General features: G+C 41.5%; 1 protein-coding gene and 1 pseudogene across 10 annotated transcripts in view, besides 1 other annotated feature; both read left to right on the top strand.

The window, feature by feature from the left end:
- Positions 1–17,994, top strand: part of PTER (phosphotriesterase related) — an 82,011-nt gene that overhangs the window by 23,687 nt on the left and 40,330 nt on the right. The window contains exon 2 of one of the 10 annotated variants that reach the window (NM_030664.5): positions 6,436–6,514. The exons of the other annotated variants lie outside the window; for them this stretch is intronic. The gene's annotated coding sequence lies outside the window, so the exon portion shown is untranslated. The remainder of the gene's footprint in view (positions 1–6,435; positions 6,515–17,994) is intronic. 10 annotated transcript variants of the gene reach the window in all.
- Positions 5,201–5,401: a silencer, noted in NCBI's record as "peak880 fragment used in MPRA reporter construct". NCBI's record gives its function as "represses an SCP1 promoter by STARR-seq MPRAs in K562 erythroleukemia cells {active_cell/tissue: K562}" and the evidence as "EXISTENCE:reporter gene assay evidence [ECO:0000049][PMID:32103011]".
- RNU2-18P (RNA, U2 small nuclear 18, pseudogene) lies at positions 15,307–15,468 on the top strand (annotated as a pseudogene).

Consider the following 17,994-nt stretch of genomic DNA (forward strand, 5'->3'; position numbering starts at 1 on the left):
TTATTAAAGTTGCAGATATAAGTCTAATCAAAAAGAGATGAAAATTACAGTCTTTTTTTTTAAATAGAGTCTCACTCTGTTGCCCAGGCATCCTACTGCAACCTCTACCTCCCGGGTTCAAGAGATTCTCCTGCCTCAGCCTCCCAATTAGCGGGGATTACAGGCACCCGCCACCACGTCTGGCTAATTTTGGTAATTTTGATAGAGACGGGGTTTCACCATGTTGGCCAGGCTGGTCTCGAACTCCTGACCTCAGGTGATCCACCTGCTTCAGCCTCCCAAAGTGCTGGGATTATAGGCATGAGCCACCGCACCTGGCCAAAAATTACAGTCATTTGATATATCGGCAATATTGTTAAATTACAGTTAAAACTACAGTGAAAGGAGATTTTTCACTTGCATAATTATATAAGTATATAGATAAATCATTGTCTCAAATAATATTTTAAATATGTGATTTTCTGTGAATTCTTAGGAAGCAGGTGATAGCAATGATTGAGGTGCTCAATTAAGCTATGGTACTAGAGGAACCTTTCTAAATATTTTACTGCAGCTTATTTTTATGGGGAAAATATATAAGCAAATTAAATTTTAGCAAATTAAATATAATTAAATTCCTTTATATTTAATTACATATATAATTATATATACATATGAGTTAATTAAAATTTGTTATTTGATAGTGGAGATTTTTTCTATTTTTGTGAGACTTTTTCGCTAGAGAATTTAGAATTCAGTTAGAGTATTTTCTCAGCCATCTCAAAGACCAGGAAAGAGTGATTATTGCTCTATGACACATGTAGTCATTACAGATTTGCCCTTGACCCCATTGTAGTAAATCAGCTTTCAGGAGTTGAAATTAGCTGTTTGTTACCTTACTTTTAGTACATCAGATACTAGTCTTTCCCCAAAACACTTCTCTCTGTCAGGTGCCACACTCTCTTAGGACCAGACAAAATTTGTTACTTTGAGTTCTTTCCTAGACCATTAATAAAGGCGACCTCTAGAGCAATTTTTCTCAAACTTGGAGTTCCACAAACTCTCAACAAAATTTTGATTTTGTCTTTTCATTTTTGTAATCATCAAACCATTTTAAGCATATTCTGAATCAATATACCTATTTTATAACCATATATTGCCCTAGGGTTTCATTATATGCATTTCCATTACTTTTTAAGACTTGAGTGATACCAAATCATTACCTAAAATAACAACATTTATCTTTTTCATGACTTTTTTTTTCAAACTGGGGTCTCTGTTTTACTGGAAGCCATGACCGTATTTCCTAGGATTTTTTTTTTTTTTTGAGACGAAGTCTTGCTCTTGTCACCCAGGCTGGAGTGTGATGGCATGATCTCAGCTCGCTGCAACCTCTGCCTCCCGGGTTCAAGCAATTCTCCTGCCTCAGCCCCCCAAGTACCTGGAATTACAGGCGCCTGCCACTACGCCTGGCTAATTTTTGTATTTTTAGTACAGATGGGGTTTCCCCATGAAGGCCAGGCTGGTCCTGAACTCCTGACCTCAAGCAATCCACCCGCCTCGGCCTCCCAAAGTGCTGGGATTACAGGTGTGAGCCACCACGCCCAGCCTTTTCCTAGGACTTTATGAGAGGTGGTTGGATTGAGAGAGCAGTGGATAATCTGTCAAAGTGGTTTACTTCCTTTATTTATTTCCTTTATAAGAAGTACAGTTGGTTTACAAATTAAATCATATATGATGGTGGCGTTTGTGTTTGTTTTTCTGAGTCTGACTTTAGGGTTTGTTTATAGCAGTATCCTAAGGGTAGAACCAAGAGTTAAGACTTGTTGTGAGTTTTCTCGTCTTTGCAATTTTTCCAGCCCTGCGATTTGTGCTGTGTCTTCCACATAATCTACTTTTTTTTTTTTTTTTTTGAGACAGAGTCTCGCTCTGTTGACCAGGCTGGAGTGCAGTGATGCAATCTTAGCGCTCTGTAGACTCCGGCTCCCAGGTTAAAGTGATTCTCCTGCCTCAGCCTCCTGAGTAGCTGGGATTACAAGCATGTACTACCATGCCTGGCTAATTTTTGTATTTTTAGTAGAGACGGGGTTTCACCATGTAGGCCAGGCTGGTCTCAAACTCCTGGCCTCAAGTGATCCACCCGCCTCAGCCTCCCAAAGTGCTGGGATTACAGGCATGAGCCACCATGCCCGGCCACATAATCTACTCTTAACATTACCTCCTTAAGATTGATGGCTGCCGGGCGTGGTGAGTCACGCCTGTAACCCCAGCACTTTGGGAGGCCGAGGAGTGCAAATCACAAGGTCAGGAGATGGAGACCATCCTGGCTAACATGGTGAAACCCCGTCTGTACTAAAAATACAAAAAATTAGTCGGGCTTGACGGCAGGCACCTGTAGTCTCAGCTACTCGGGAGACTGAGGCAGCAGAATCGCTTGAACCCGGGAGGCGGAGGTTGCAGTGAGCCAAGATTGTTCCACTGCACTCCATACTCCAGCCTGGGCGACAGAGCGAGACTCTGTCTAAAAAAAAAAAAAAAAAAAAAAAATACTGTTTCTCACTCATCTGTCTAGCTGAGGGAAACTTGGAGACAGAGGGAAGAACTCAGCCAAGCTCCTGATAAACCACTTAATTAAAGCTAAGAGATTATCATGATAAATGTTAATTGGGATTATCATGATAAATTGGGATTCTTGTCCTGTGTTCTTTTATAAGAAACAGGTGATGCATATTTTCTTTTTTTTGTTGTTTTTTGAGACCAAGTCTCGCTCTTATCACCCAGGCTGGAGTGCCATGGCAGGCGCGATCTTGGCTAACTGCAACCTCTGCCTTCCGGGTTCAAGCAATTCTCCTGCCTCAGCCTCCCGATTAGCCGGGATTACAGGCGGGTGCCACCATGCCCGGCTAATTTTTGTATTTTTAGTAGAGACACGGTTTCACCGTGTTGGCCAGGCTGGTCTCGAACTCCTGACCTCAGGTGATCCGCTCATCTCGGCTTCCCAAACTGCTGGGATTACAGGCGTGAGCCACCATGCCCGGCCAACGCATATTTTCTTTGGCCCACATTTTAGGTGTTTATTAATAAGTGTTGGTCGACGCCCAAAGGAGAAATCTCAGAGGTCATGGTTGTTATACTATTTTTAAAGGTCTCCCACAGGATGCTTAAGGAACCTATAGCAGTGGATTCTGCCTTTAGTGAAAGTGGAATACAGCTCATCATCCTTGTCTCAATAATAACCCCATTTCCTCATTGGTGAAATGGGAACAATAATAATAAAAGTGGATTTCGTCTCAAAGTACATCCGACGGTCCGGTCTTCCACTGTTTTTGATGACTCACCTTCTGTTGATCCCTTGCCTACTTCACCGGTACATTAGGAGATTTAATTAAAGTGTGTAGAGGATCTAAGCTCTTCAGAGAAACACACAGCATTATTATGGCAGATAACACTTCTGATCTTCCATAATCTCTTGAAGGTAATGAAACCAGCAATATAGAAAGCTGAGGGTTTAATATAGTCAGAGTTTTATGAAGACACATCCATACAATACTTTATTAATAGTGGTCATCATTGTGGCCTTGAGAGTTCAGAATTCAATTCCTAGGAACTTTCTAATTGTTCTCAGCATTTTGATTTAACTTTTTTCCTGTCAATAAACACAATCGAGAGATCAGTTAAGTATTCAGGTCATGCTGGTTTTACTCAACTTTGAAGGCTTTCCTATTTTGTTTTCAAACTATGATTATTACAATACTTTTGTAAGTTGGAGCAGGGGGGAAAACAGTATTTATTTAGGCTTGTGTTTCCTGACTCGTCTCCTGGTCTCTGGTTTCTCCAGCTTTCAACCTGTATTCCAACTGCCTACTTAATGATCGCCCTTATGTAGTTCTCATCCTCTGGGCCAAGCCCTTGTGTCAGTATTTTTCACTGTAAGCTAATGTACAACCTACAATCAGCCTTTACGGGATGCTTTAAAGTCTGGAAACATGCTCCTCATTGCTCATATCATCAGAATGTCTCTGTGACAAGCCACCTCCTCCAGGAAGCCTTCTCATTCCTCCAGTATCAGTGAATGTTGTCCACACCGATCTCACAGGGCACTTGCTTTGTACCTGTATCCATCCATTTTCATGCTCCAGATAAAGACATACCTGAGACTGGGTAATTTATAAAGAAAGGAGGTTTAATTGACTCACTGTTCCACATGGCTGGGGAGGCCTCACAATCATGGTGGGAAGGGAAGGATGAGCAAAGTCACATCTTACATGGCAACAGGGAAGAGAGAACTCGTGCAGGGGAATTCCTCTTTATAAAACCATCAGATCTCGTGAGACTTAAACACTATCACGAGAATAGCATGAGAAAGACCCACCCCCATGATTCAAATACCTCCCACTGGGTCCCTCCATGACATATGGGAATTGTGGGAGCTACAATTCAAGATAAGATTTGGGTGGGGACACAGCCAAACCATATCAGTACCTCTCTCCTGACATTTACTGCACTCTGCTTTGTATCGTAAGTATCCTATGAATATATAAAAACGATGAGTGACTCATTGAATGCTTACCATATATGTGCTAAGGTAGGCACTGTGTTGGTGGCTCCTCTCCTAGGGCCAGGATTGTTTCTTTTTCATCTTCGTTTCCCTGCATATCTTCAGTTGAAGTTAGTAGATCCTCAGGAAACATTTGCAACATTAAATTGAAATGTATGCAGGTGAAATTAGCACGTTTGGAAAGCTGATTTCCTTGAATTCCCTTCCTATGCCCTGAGAACTTAAGACCGAAGTTGCCCCCTCAGATCTGTAAATCAAAGCAGTTTTTCTTAATATTTCAGGAAGCATAAAGATCATTGGTCACAAGCCTATAAAGAGGACATAATGCCAACGAAAACATAGGTTTGCTTGTGGCTGAAATTACATTCCATCAGTATGGAACTGAAGGGTGGATAGAACAGAAATATTTGCTCATTGGTTGAGCAGACATTTATTGATCATCTGCCTCTGTGCAATTGCTGTTTGTATTAGTTCATTCTCACACTGCTATAAAGATACTACCCAAGTCTGGGTAATTTATAATGGAAAGAGGTTTAATTGACTCATAGTTCTGCCTGGCTGGGGAGGCCTCAGGAAACGTAAAATTGTGGTGGAAGGGGAATCACGCATGTCTTACATGGCAGCAGGAGAGAGAGGGCAAGTGAGAGCAGGGAAAACTGCCTCATAAAACCATAAGATCTCATGAGAACCCACTAACTATCATGAGAACAGCATGGGGAAAACTGTCGCCATGCTCTAATCACCTCCCATCTGTTCCCTCCCTCAATATGTAGGGATTATGGGGATTACAATTTGAGATGAGATTTGGGTGGGGACGTGAAGCCAAACCATATCACTGTTATAGCTTAGAGTTGTACCTAGTGTTCCAAGTATGGGAATGGAGTTAGTTATCAAAACAAAATCTAGTTACAAGTACAACTCTCCTTTTCATCAATTATGGTGTTGACTTTCCCAGGCAGGTGTCCAGGCAGGCAGCAGACCAGAGCAAGGCAAGGGCTAGAGTCAGAATGGAAAAGTCTCTGAGCTCCCTGCTAGTGGCTGTCAGACCTTTTTCTGTTATAACTACCTTTTTTTTTTTTTTACACCAAACAGGCTAGGTTAGACCATCTAAAAACAGGTATCTGCACTGATTGTTTGTTTGAGACAGAATTTTGCCCTGTCACCCAGGTTGCAGTGCAGTGGCACCATCTCAGCTCACTGCAACCTCCGCCTCCCCAATTCAAGTGATTCTCATGACTCAGCCTCCCAAGTAACTGGGATTACAGGCATGGGCCACCACGCCCAGCTAATTTTTGTATTATTAGTAGAGATGGGGTCTTGCCATGTTGGCCAGGCTGGTCTCAAACTCCTGGCCTCAAGTGATCCGCCTGTCTCTGCCTCCCAAAGTGCTGGGCTTACAGGCATGAGCCACTGCACCTGGCCTGATTCTTTTCAACTCTGGATTAACAAAACGTGGTAGCCAAAATCAAGACTTTTCTTGGAGAGTCTACCGTGTGATCTTCAAAGGACCTGGGGAGACTTGTGTGGGAAATACCTTTTAGATATACTGTATTGTTATTTGTGCAACTGAATCATACAGCCTTTCTGTGATTCAAAGTTTATTTAAAAATTAAACGGCCTTAGCAAGAAATTCCTGAGGATGGTCTATACATTTAAAACATTTACCTAAGAGCCATTATCCAGTTTTACTTCTTATAAAGGAAGACCTATGGCCATGAGTCACTTGCAGTAACTTTACTAAGTATTTTTAGTTTTCTGATTTTCAGTTGACTTCCACCAATGCAGATAGGAAATGTCTTTGGAGATGAAGTCACTTGCTGTTATTTTTTTATATGCTCAAGATTCTGGCTCTTACACTACTGTCCCCTTATCCATGGTTTTGCTTTTTGTGGTTTCAGTTACCTGTAGTCAACCACAGTCTGAAAATATTAAGGTATTTTAAGACAGAAAGAGAGAGAGGAGAGAAACCGCATTCACGTAAGTTTTATTCCAGCATATTGTTATAATTCTTCTATTTTATTATTAGTTATTGTTGCTAATCTTTTACTGTGCCTAAATTATAAATTAAACTTTATCATAAGTATGTATATATGGGACAAAAACATAGTATCTACAGGGTTAGGTACTATTTGCGGTTTCACACATCCACTGGGGCCCCTGGAACAGATTTTCTTTGGATAAGAGGGCACTACTGTGGATAGTAAGGGAAAGTTAAAAAAACAAAAACAAAACATAAAAAGGCTATGTATTCCTATGTAGTTGGGTACAGAATAATAATCTAAAATAGCACATTTGCTGCCGGGCTCAGTGACTCATGCCTGTAATCCCAACACTTTGGGAGGTTGAGGTGGGTGGATCACCTGAGGTCAGGAGTTCGAGACCAGTCTGGCCTACATGGTGAAACGCAGTCTCTACTAAAAATACAAAAATTAGCCAGGTGTGGTAGTGGGTGCCTGTAATCCTAGCTACTCGGGAGGCTGACGCAGGAGAATTGCTTGAACCTGGAAGATGGAGGTTGCAGTGTGCAATTGCACTCCAGCCTGGGTTACATGAGTAAAATTATGTCTCAATAATAATAGTAAAATAAAATAGTATATTTGCTGCCTTCTGAGAACTTGGAGTGTGAAGATACAGGAAAGTTGAAAAAGCAAACCTGGCTTCAAAATCCAGAGCCCAAACACTTTGGGAAAAACATTTTCCATGCTTTTTAATAATTTTTAGCTCTTCCGATTTGGGAAAATAATGTCATATTCCGTAAAAGGGCTGTGCTGTGATCTCAGAATTATCTATTGTCAGAAATATATTAAATAAAGATTCCAAGAAAATGGCCAGGCATGGTGGCTCATGACTGTAATCCCAGCACTTTGGGAGGCTGAGGCAGGCGGATCACTTTAGGTCAGGAGTTTGAGACCAGCCTGGCCAACATGGCGAAACCCCGTCTCTACTAAAAATACAAAAATTAGCCGAGTGTGGTGGCAGACACCTGTAATCCTAGCTACTCGGAAGGCCGAGGCAGGAGAATCACTTGAACCAGGGAGGCAGAGGTTGCAGTGAGCCGAGATCAAACCACCGTACTCCAGCCTGGGTGACAGAGCAAAACTCCATCTCAAAACAAAAAACTTCCAGGAAAATGTTTAGCTCTTTTTTTTTTTTAGTGACTTTTAACCTCTATTAACTACACATTTTTGTTGTTCTTTTCTAGTGCTAATTCCACTTCTATTTATAATTCTTTGCTTCTGCTTTAATTTTTGTTTTCTTACTTTATTGTATGATTCCTTTGTGCGAGTCTCCTCAAACCCTTTGTGGATAAAGCGGGACTAAAACAAGCAAGCATCTAGATGTTCGCTAAATACATACTGTGTACCAGGCACTGCAGGGAACTGAGGACTGAGAGGCAAAGATGTGACTCACCGCAACGAGCTCAAAGTCTGATGGAAAAGACATAAAACAGAAGAAGGTAGCTAGGTGCAATGGCTCATGCCTATAATCCCATTACTTTGGGGGCCAAGGTGGGAGGATCCCTTGAGTCCAGGAGTTCAAAACCAGCCTGGGCAACACAGGGAGACCCCTTTCTCTATAGAAAATAAAAAAAATAATTGGGTGTGGCAACGTGCACTTGTAGTCCCAACTACTCAGGAGGCTGAGGTGGGAGGATCTCTTGAGCCCAGGAGTTTGAGGCTGCAATGAGCTACGATCATACCCCTGTACCCCAGCCTGGGTGACAGAGTGAGACCCTGTCTCTTAAAAAAAAAAGCCAAAAAACAAAAATCAGAAGAAGTGCATTATTAAGGTGAAATTGAGGTGCTATGAGAGTACCTAGAATTGACATCTTACCTGTATTGCTTGAGCAACAAGGAGGAACCACAGGACAATCTTCTAGTTAGGAAGAGTGCTGAAGGCCGAGTAGAAGTTGGCCAGGACTGGGAAAGGGTTAGGGAGGCAGAGTGGGAGTGGGCTGGATTTGCAAGCTGAGAGCAAAGAGGCAGAAACCTGCTCAGAGACCTTGCGACAGGGGAGAAGATAAAAAGTCCAGGAAAGGGCAGGTGAGTGCAGAGTGGGTTCATAGGGTACTATCAGGCTCTATGTTCAGATTTGTTTTTTAAGATTAGAAGAAGACTCAGGGAGAGACACATTCTTGTCTGCGATTTAGAAAGAGCGCTGTATAGGCTTCCTAAGGTGGATTGCAAAGCCAGAGAGACTTCTGAGAAGCTTTTACTGGAATCCATCTGTGAGATGATGGTGGTTCCTACTAAGATCGTGACTGTGAGAATGAAGGGGAAAAGGAATCAAAGAGCTATTAAAGTGGTGGAATTTACGGGATTTAGAAACTGAGTGGGTGTGGGTGAGGCAGGAGTCTTGGATGAAATCTGAGTTCATTCTGTTGTTTGTTTGTTTGTTTCTGAGAGCATGAACTTGGCTCATAGCCTCGAGTCCAGGCTCAAGTGATCCTTCTGCCTCAGCCTCCTGTGTAGGTGGGACCACAGGTGCATGTCACCATGGCTGACTAATTTTGGGATTTGTTTTTCTAGAGATGAGGTCTCACTTTGTTGCCCAAGCTGATTGCGAACTCCTGGGCTCAAGCAGTCCTCCTGCCTCAGCCTCCCAAAGTGGTGCTGGGGTTATAGCATGAGCCACCGTGCCTGGCTGTTTTTTTTGTTTGTTTTTTTGTTTTTTTTTTTAATTTAAATAAGAGCATTTGTAGATGTTGCATCAGAGAGAATGTGAAAAATATAGAAATGTCATGTAAATTACCGAGTGCTGGGCTTGGCACATGGTAATTTTACAATAAGGTTGCTATCTATTGTTATTGTCGGCTAAACTAGTCTAATTAATCTTAGCAGAACTGTGTATGAAGTGCTGTTCATAGTCAATATTTGGCATTCTCTAAGCAGACTTAGGTTGGAATTGCAGCCTTTCAGTCCAGGGGCAAGTTTCTTAACTTTTCTTGGCCTTACTTTCCTCATAGAATATCAAGCCAGCAATGCATTCGTGAAAATTTGAGATAAGAGATGTAAAGTGCTTTAAGCAACACATAGTAGAAGCTTAGTCAATGAACAAAAGGCATTATTGTTGGTTCCCAGCCTCCAAGTGAGGCCACAGGACTCTTATCTATCTTTGTATCTCCCATAGACCTTACCTGCCTCGAATAACATCTTACACTTATTAACTGCTTAATACATATTTATCAAATCCATAGTAACTTTTTATTTCATCCTGTTGAGGCTTTTCGCCCTCCATTAAAAGGGTTTCTTGGGAGGGAGCGGTGGCTCACGCCTGTAATCCCAGCACTTTGGGAGATCGAGGCAGGCAGATCACTTGAGGTCAGGAGTTCAAGACCAGCCTGGCCAACAGAGTGAAACCCCATGTCTACTAAAAATACAAAACTTAGCTGGGTGTGGTGGCGGGTGCCCGTAATCCCAGCTACTTGGGAGGCTGAGGCAGGAGAATCACTTGAATCTGGAAGGTGGAGGTTGCAGTGAGCCAAGATTGTGCCACTCCACTCCAGCCTGGGTGACAGAGCAAGGCTCCATCTCAAAAAAAACAAAAAAAATTCTTCTTATGGTTCTGTTCTTTAAAAAGGTTTCTTTCTATGGTTCTATTTTTATGGTTTATCTTTACTTACAATTTATTGTTCTTGATTCTTTTTTTTTTAACTTAAAAATGATGACTGACACTTCCTAATTTATGATTAAGAACTTCCCTTCACAACACCCCCGCCTCCATTTCCGCTGCTAACCCCTCATATGAGTGTGTTCAGATGAGATCTTGTTCCTGGTCTGGCTTAACTGTGATACGAATTATTCAGGCCATGGAGCTTTTTCTAGAATTGTCACTGGGCTTCAAGACTTCCACCAAAGTCAAAATCAGTCGGCGATGGACTACCTCAAACAGCTTGAATTGAATTAAAATGAACCATAGCACTAGAAAGGCATGTAATTTGATCTGAAATATTGCGCAGGAACAATATCAAGTCTCAGGCAAGACAGGCAATTAGCAACTTTGTGATAATAAAGAATTTGAAATAGCTCTTGAGTTCATAACTCGTTGCCTGCCTGTGTGTTTTGGTTGGGGGATTCAAAATGTATATGTTACTATTTTACCTGTGACATTACAATAAGCATCTGATGGATTTACACTAGTAACATTGATCTTTTCCCATTTTACTCCCTTTTACTGATTATAAATGTTATAAACATTAAAAACTGGAAAATACATTAAATTGTAATGAAGGAAAAAAAATGGTCGATCTTCACTCCTCCTGCTCAAAGATGAGCTTCACATTTTAGTGTCTCTGGCTGTTAAGTCCTATTTATGTGTAGATACATACACTCCGTATAAATTTTTATCGTATTTAAAATACTTAAACTAGTTTTGTGTTTTGCTTTTTCAGGTAATAAGAGCATTTTTCTTTATTTTCCTCATTTTTTTCTTCACATCAAAGAGCATACAGAATATAAGAGCATTTTTCTATGTCATTAAATATTCTTTGCAAATATAATTGAATGGTTGCATAATGTTCCATCCTGTTTATATGTAAACATTCCTATGTTATAAGACATTTTGTTGCCATCTATATAATGCCATAATGGACTCTTTGAGTATAAATCTTTTTTACACATGTCTAAATATTCTCTTAAGACAGATTCTCACCAGCAGAGCAACATTTTTAAGACTTGGGATACTTACTGCTAAATTACTTTTCAGACAAGTTGGGCAAATTTGCACTTTTGCCAGCGTGTGGCTAGGAGGTTGTCATACCTCCACGCTCACTACAATCTTCCTATTTTCACAAATGAGTCAATGAACGGGCTGGATTTGTTGTAACTGTCTCTCAAGTGATGCTTTCTATTGGATTCCCACAATATGACTACTGCTAACTTTTAAGGACTAAGTTACCATTTTAAATGGAAAGATTTCATCTTGAATGTGAAGCTGGATATCTATAAATAAAAAATTGCAGTTGGTTATTTGGTGTTTCTCGTATTGCTAGTATAAGTTCCTTAAATATTATATAGATATTATTTTTATGATTTAGCATTTATCCCATGATAAAACTGGAATCATGTATGCCTCATACGGATTGACTGTGTCCCCACCCACATCTCACCTTGAATTGTAATAATCCCCATGTGTCAAGGGTGGGGCCAGGTGGAGATAATTGAATCACGGGGGCGGTTTCCCCCATACTGTTCTCCTGGTAATGAATAAATCTCATGAGATCCGCTGGTTTTATAAATGGGAGTTCCCCTGTGCAAGCTCTCTTGCCTGCTGCCATGTAAGTCATGGCTTTGTTCCTCATTTGCCGTCCGCCATGATTGAGAGTCCTCCCCAGCCATATGGAATTGTGAGTCCATTAAACCCCTTTCCTTTATAAATTACCCAGTCTCAGTTATATCTTTATTAGCAGCCTGAGAACAGACTAATACAGTCCTTCTCCCCCACCATGTTTTGGGGTTTATCTGAGGATAATAATTCCTAATAAATACTTTACTTCTTTGGCATTTGGACCTCTGGACAGCTTTTTGAAATTTGAACAGTTTTCTATTATGTTGTGCCATCTGGAATTTATACAAATAAAATACACTGTGCTTCAGGTTTAGTTTGTAGAAGTGAGAATTTTATGTATGTAGCTTCTATTCTCTTCATTTCTAAGAAGTCAACATTTAAACCAGACTTCATGTTGTCTGGACATAAAAGATAAAGTATTTGTAGAGTAATTTAATCGAGTAGGTCTTAGGGCATAGCTCTCCATATTACATACCCAATTTCCTTGCAAACTTCAACCAAAAAAAAAAAAAGGAAAAAACTTTATTGGAATTTTAGAGTTAGAGCACATTGTACTTTATTCACTTTGGAATAAACCGTTTGGCTCTTTCATTCTTTAATTAAGGTATAAACTAGTTGTGATACTTTCCTTCTCTTTATTCGGCTCAAATGAGTCTCACTGATGCAAAATAAACACTAGATACTATGTAACTATTGGGAATAAAGGAGGCCTTCTGCCCACCCCACCTCTAACCTGACGAAGCCCCTGATGAAGTCAAAGGAAGATAAATCCACGCAGTGCTGGAATATACTGTGGAACCTCATGATATATTCATTATGAGTCCTCCTCTCCAGCACACCCCAGTTAGTAAGTTCCTTAGATAAACCAAATCTATGCACAAATGAACTCACTATTAAAAATTAGTTCTCCTAGCGCTTGAACCCGGGAGGCGGAGGTTGCAGTGAGCCGAAATCGCACCACTGCACTCCAGCCTGGGTGATAGAGTGAGACTCCATCCGAAAAAAAAAAAAAAAAAAAAAAAAAAAACAGTTAGTTCTCCTGTAAGCATTCCTGTGTCCTTAATATCACTTTCTGTTCCTGCCTTGCATCTCCGCATCTTTTTCTTCGTCTCTGGCCGAATGCTGTAAACGCTCATAAATATCAAGTAATAAGATGCAAAGAGATTGCAAACTAAAACTGAAAACCTTAAAGATGCAGTTTGTCATGAAGCTGCTGAAAGAGATATTGGAGAAATGCCAAAATACCTCCAAAGCCAAAGTCTGGCTGTGTGACTGTGGAGCATTTAAAAGCTTCTCATGACTTAGTTTCCTCACTTGAAAACTGGAATAATATCTGCCTGATTAACCACATGAAATTTGAAATAAAAAGCAAGTAAAATGATACCTAAAAGCACTACTTAAATAATAAAGTACCTGGCCGGGCACCGTGGCTCAGGCCTGTAATCCCAGCACTTTGGGAGGCCTAGGTGGGCAGATCACGAGGTCAGGAGTTCGAGACCAGCCTGGCCAACACAGTGAAACGTCATCTCTACTAAAAATACAAAAAATTAGCCAGTTGTGGTGGCATGTGCCTGTAATCCCAGCTACTTGAGAGGCTGAGGCAGGAAAGTTGTTTGAACCTGGGAGTTAGACCCTTAACAGCCCAAGAGGAGAAATTGGTAGGAATGGTATCAAGACAAGTGCTTCAGAATAGAAGTTGCATAACAACCAGTTAATAGAGGACCTTGGTTAAAAAAGAAAATGATAGTCTTCAAAAATATTTTTGCAAAACTTTTTTCATCACTGGGGTACAAAAGTCAAGAAAAGAATGTCATCTCACATAATTTTGTCAGAAAAATGATCTTCCCTCCCCACCAAATCTAACACTCAAATAATTCTTTGTTCTAACCATTAGGGCATATTTATAATGATGACTTATTTTGATTTTTTTTAGTGTAAAATCTTAAGCCCTTTAAAAATGACATATTATTCGGCGTTAGTCTCTATATTTTGAATACCTACTGCTGTGTAACAAACCACCTACCCATTTGGGGTGCTCTAACAGAATAATATAGCCTGGGTGGCTTACCAAAAAAAAAGAAATTTGGTCAGGCTTCGTGGGTGACAACTGTAATCCCAGCAGTTTGAGAGGCCGAGGCAGGTGGATCATGAGGTCAGGAGTTCGAGACCAGCCTGGCCAGCATGGTGAAACTCCGTCTCCGCTAAAAATACAAAAAATTAGCTGGGCATGGTGGCGTGCACCTGTAATCCCAGCTACTCAGGAGGCTGAGGCAGGAGAATCGCTTGAACCCAGGAAGCAGAGGTTGCAGTGAGCCGAGATCGCACCACTGCACTCCAGCCTGGGTGACAAAGTGAGACTCCATCTCAAAAAACAAAACAAAACAAATTTATTTCTCATCATTCTGAAGGCTGAGAAGTCTAAGATTGAAGCCCTGGCAGATTTGGTGTCTGGGAGGGCCTATGTCCTGGTTTGCAGATGGTCATCTTGCTGTGTGTTCACATGGTGGAAGGAAGGAGGAAGCTCTTTGGGGTCTTTTTTATAAAGGGACTAATTCCATTTATGAAGCCTTTACCTTCATCAGTTGATCACCTCTCAAAGGCCCCACCTGCTAATACTGTTACTGGGGATTAGGATTTCAACATAGGAATTTTGGAGGGACACACACATTTATAGCACCATCCCTAAGCCAGAGGTTACAAACAACCACCATTTTATTGTCCCTCATCATTCTGTGGGTTGGTCAGATTCTGCCAGTTGCATTTAGCTGGGCCTGACATCATTTGGGATCTTGGCTGGACTAGAATGTCCAGGGTAACTCACTTATCTGCTACCTTCACAGGGACGGCCTCAAGGCTGAAATGACTGGGGGCCCTGGGATGGCTGGAGACTCTCTTTCTCTCCATATTGTCTCAGGGCCTCTTCTCCATGTAGGAAGGTAGCCAGATTCTTACATTGCAACTCGGGGTTTTGCAAGGCACAAAAGCAGAAGCTGCTTCCAATGATATGGGTCCCAAACTGGCTTTGCATCACTTTATTCACATTCTGTTGGTTAAAGTGATTCACCGACCAGCTCTGGTACAGGGTAGAAGGGGGCTACACAAGGATTTGAGTATTGGAATGCACTGAAGGTCATCATGGAGACTAACCCACTGTAGGAAGCACATTCATCGAAAACGTCATTTCCAGTACTGCTTATCCATGGATAATGAGGACCTCCTGTAGCTGTAGTCACTTTGGTGCATCGTTTCCAAAAACCTAATGAGTTGTGATGTCAATTGCAGCTGTCAATCTACTTTTAATCACAGGCCTCAAATGAAGAAATTCATTTAGAGGATAAGCAAATTACAGCTTCAGTTTTGTTCATAAACTTAAGCCCCTTATTGCTAATTTTTTTGAAAGAACAAGTTTATGCTGATTTGTCCAAGGATACTCAGCAAATATTTGGAAAATAGTTCAAAGTTTAATGTATAATCATAATCCTATTGCTTCTTGGCCTTTTGGCAAAGATCAAGTGTAGTGTCTGTTCTTATCAGTTTAATAATCATAATCCTGAACATTTATATATTATTATTATTATTTTGAGATGGAGCCTCGCTCTGTTGCCCAGGCTGGAGTGCAATGGTACGGCCTTGGCTCACTACAACCTCTGCCTCCCGGGTTCAAACGATTCTCCTGCCTCAGCCTCCTGACTAGCTGGGACTACAGACGCGTGCCACCACACCTGGCTAATTTTTGTATTTTTAGTAGACAGGGTTTCACTGTGATGGCCAGGCTGGTCTCGAACTCCTGACCTCGTGATCTGCCCACCTCGGCCTCCCAAAGTGCTGGGATTACAGGCCTGAGCCACCATGCCCGACCTCATACTTTCTTATTTAAGTGGTGCTTTTAGGTATCGTTTTACTTGCTTTTTATTTCAAATCTTATGTGGTTAATCAGGCAGATATTCCAGTTTTCAAGTGAGGAAACTAAGTCATGAGAAGCTTTTAAATGCTCCACAGTCACACAGCCAGAAAACACTGGAGCCAAGACTCCAAGTTTTGGGTTCTTCTTTTTTATTTTTTTAAGACAGGGTTTTACTTTGTTGGCCAGGTTGGAGTGCAGTGGTGTGATCAAGGCTCACTGCAGCCTCAGCCTCAACCTCGCAGGTTCAAGTGATCCTCCCACCTCAGCCTCCAGAGTAGCTTGGACCACAGGAGTGCCCCACCATGCCCAGCTAATTTTTGTAGAGACAAGGTGTTGCTATGTTTCCCAGGCTGGTCTCAAACTTCTAGACTCAAGCAATTGTCCCACCTCAGCCTCTCAAAGTCCTGGAATTACAGGCTTGAGCTGCTGTGCCTGGCATTGGGGTTTTATTCAAACCACCCCTCCATCCTAGAATTCTTTTTTTTTTTTTTTTTTTTTTGAGACAGGGTCTCACTCTGTCACCCAGATTGGAGTGTAGTGGTGTGATTTGGGCTCACTGCAGCCTCTGGCTTCCAGGCTCAAGCAATACTCCCACCTCAGCCTCTCAAGTAGCTGGGACTATAGGCACACATCACCATGCCTGGCTAATTTTTGTGTTTTTAGTAGAGATGGGCTGGCCATATTGCACAGGCTGGTATCAAACCCTTGAGCTCAAGCAGTCTGCCTGCCTTGGCCTCCCAGAGTGCTGGGATTACAGGCATGTGCCACCATGCTGGGCCTAGAGTTTTCTTTTAAACTTTGAAGGATGTGAACTGGAAATTCATTCTGTCTTTCGATAGATAGATAGATAGATAGATAGATAGATAGATAGATAGATGGATGTCTGTCTGTCTGCACATGCATGTAAAATACACATTTTATTTTATTTTTTTTTTAGAGATGGGGTTTCACCATGTTGGCCAGGCTAGTATTGAACTCCTGACCTCAAATGATTCACCCACCTCGGCCTTCCAAAGTGCTGGGACTACAGGCGTGAGCTACTGTGCCCAGCCTAAAATATACATTTAAAAATCCATTGTGCAAGTATAGCTTTCATTGTTTGTTAGTGATCTATAGGTGGTCAGTAATATCCATTTCAAGCTAAAGGAATCACTGATGCATGGATGCCATCTGGAAGTTATCTGGTCAACCCCTTCATTTCACAGATGGGAAAAACAGGTGTGGAGTGGTTAACCAAGTTGCCCAAACCCACACAGCTATTTAGTGAAGAGCCATGGATTCTTACCTCTGAACCCATCATTTTACCAACTAGACCACACCACCTCAAGAATAGCCTTCCAGATGAAACTATGAGAGGAATATAGATATTTTACATGTTTAAAACATTTGTCTGTAGTTTGCCAGGACTTAAAAGTAATACAAATTTTAAGTGCTTTACTGATCAAATACAGCTAAAGACCAGTTGTGCAGCTGGCTCAAAGTATCACTGTTTCTGGGAGGCAACCTATGACTAGGGTTTCATGGGACAGAAAATCCCCTGTAGAAAAAGCAGAGGACAGACTTCAACGTGGAGAGTTCTTCATGAAGAAAAGCAGGTGATAACCATTGTATTCAAATAACTTGGTGTATGTTTCACTCTCAGGAATATATGTTGCTAGTAAAATCAAGAATTTTACATCAAACATTCTCAAGGCATTGAGTGTGGAACCTTCTGAGAATGAAAAGGGCAGAGATGAGATCTCGTTTTTCAAATTAAGTAAAATTTAAAGGTCAGTTATTCCGACAGTGTCTTGACAATAATATTGCACTTGTCCCAACTCTAGGATGTTACTATAGTGAGTAATGTTGCACTTCGATCTGGGTTGAAATACTGTTTTCTTCCTCCCTCTCCCTTTTCCTCCCTCGTTTCCGTTTTTTTTTTTTTTGGAGTTGGAGTGTTGCTCTTGTTGCCCAGGCTGGAGTGCAATGGCACGATTTTGGCTCACTGCAACCTCCGCCTCCCGGGTTCAAGCGATTATCCTGCCTCAGGCTTCTGAGTAGCTGGTATTACAGGTGCCTGCCACCACAGCTGACTAATTTTTGTATTTTTAGTGGAGACGGGGTTTTACTATGTTGGCCAGGCTAGTCTCGAACACCTGACCTCAGGTGATTTGCCTGCCTCAGCCTCCCAAAGTGCTGGGATTACAGGCTTGAGCCACCGTGCCCAGCCCCATTTAAAAAAAAAAAAAATGTTTTCAGTTGGCCACTAAACAGAGAAATTTGGGAA

This window comes from Homo sapiens, chromosome 10, assembly GCF_000001405.40.
Source record: "Homo sapiens chromosome 10, GRCh38.p14 Primary Assembly".
Lineage (NCBI taxonomy): Eukaryota > Metazoa > Chordata > Mammalia > Primates > Hominidae > Homo > Homo sapiens.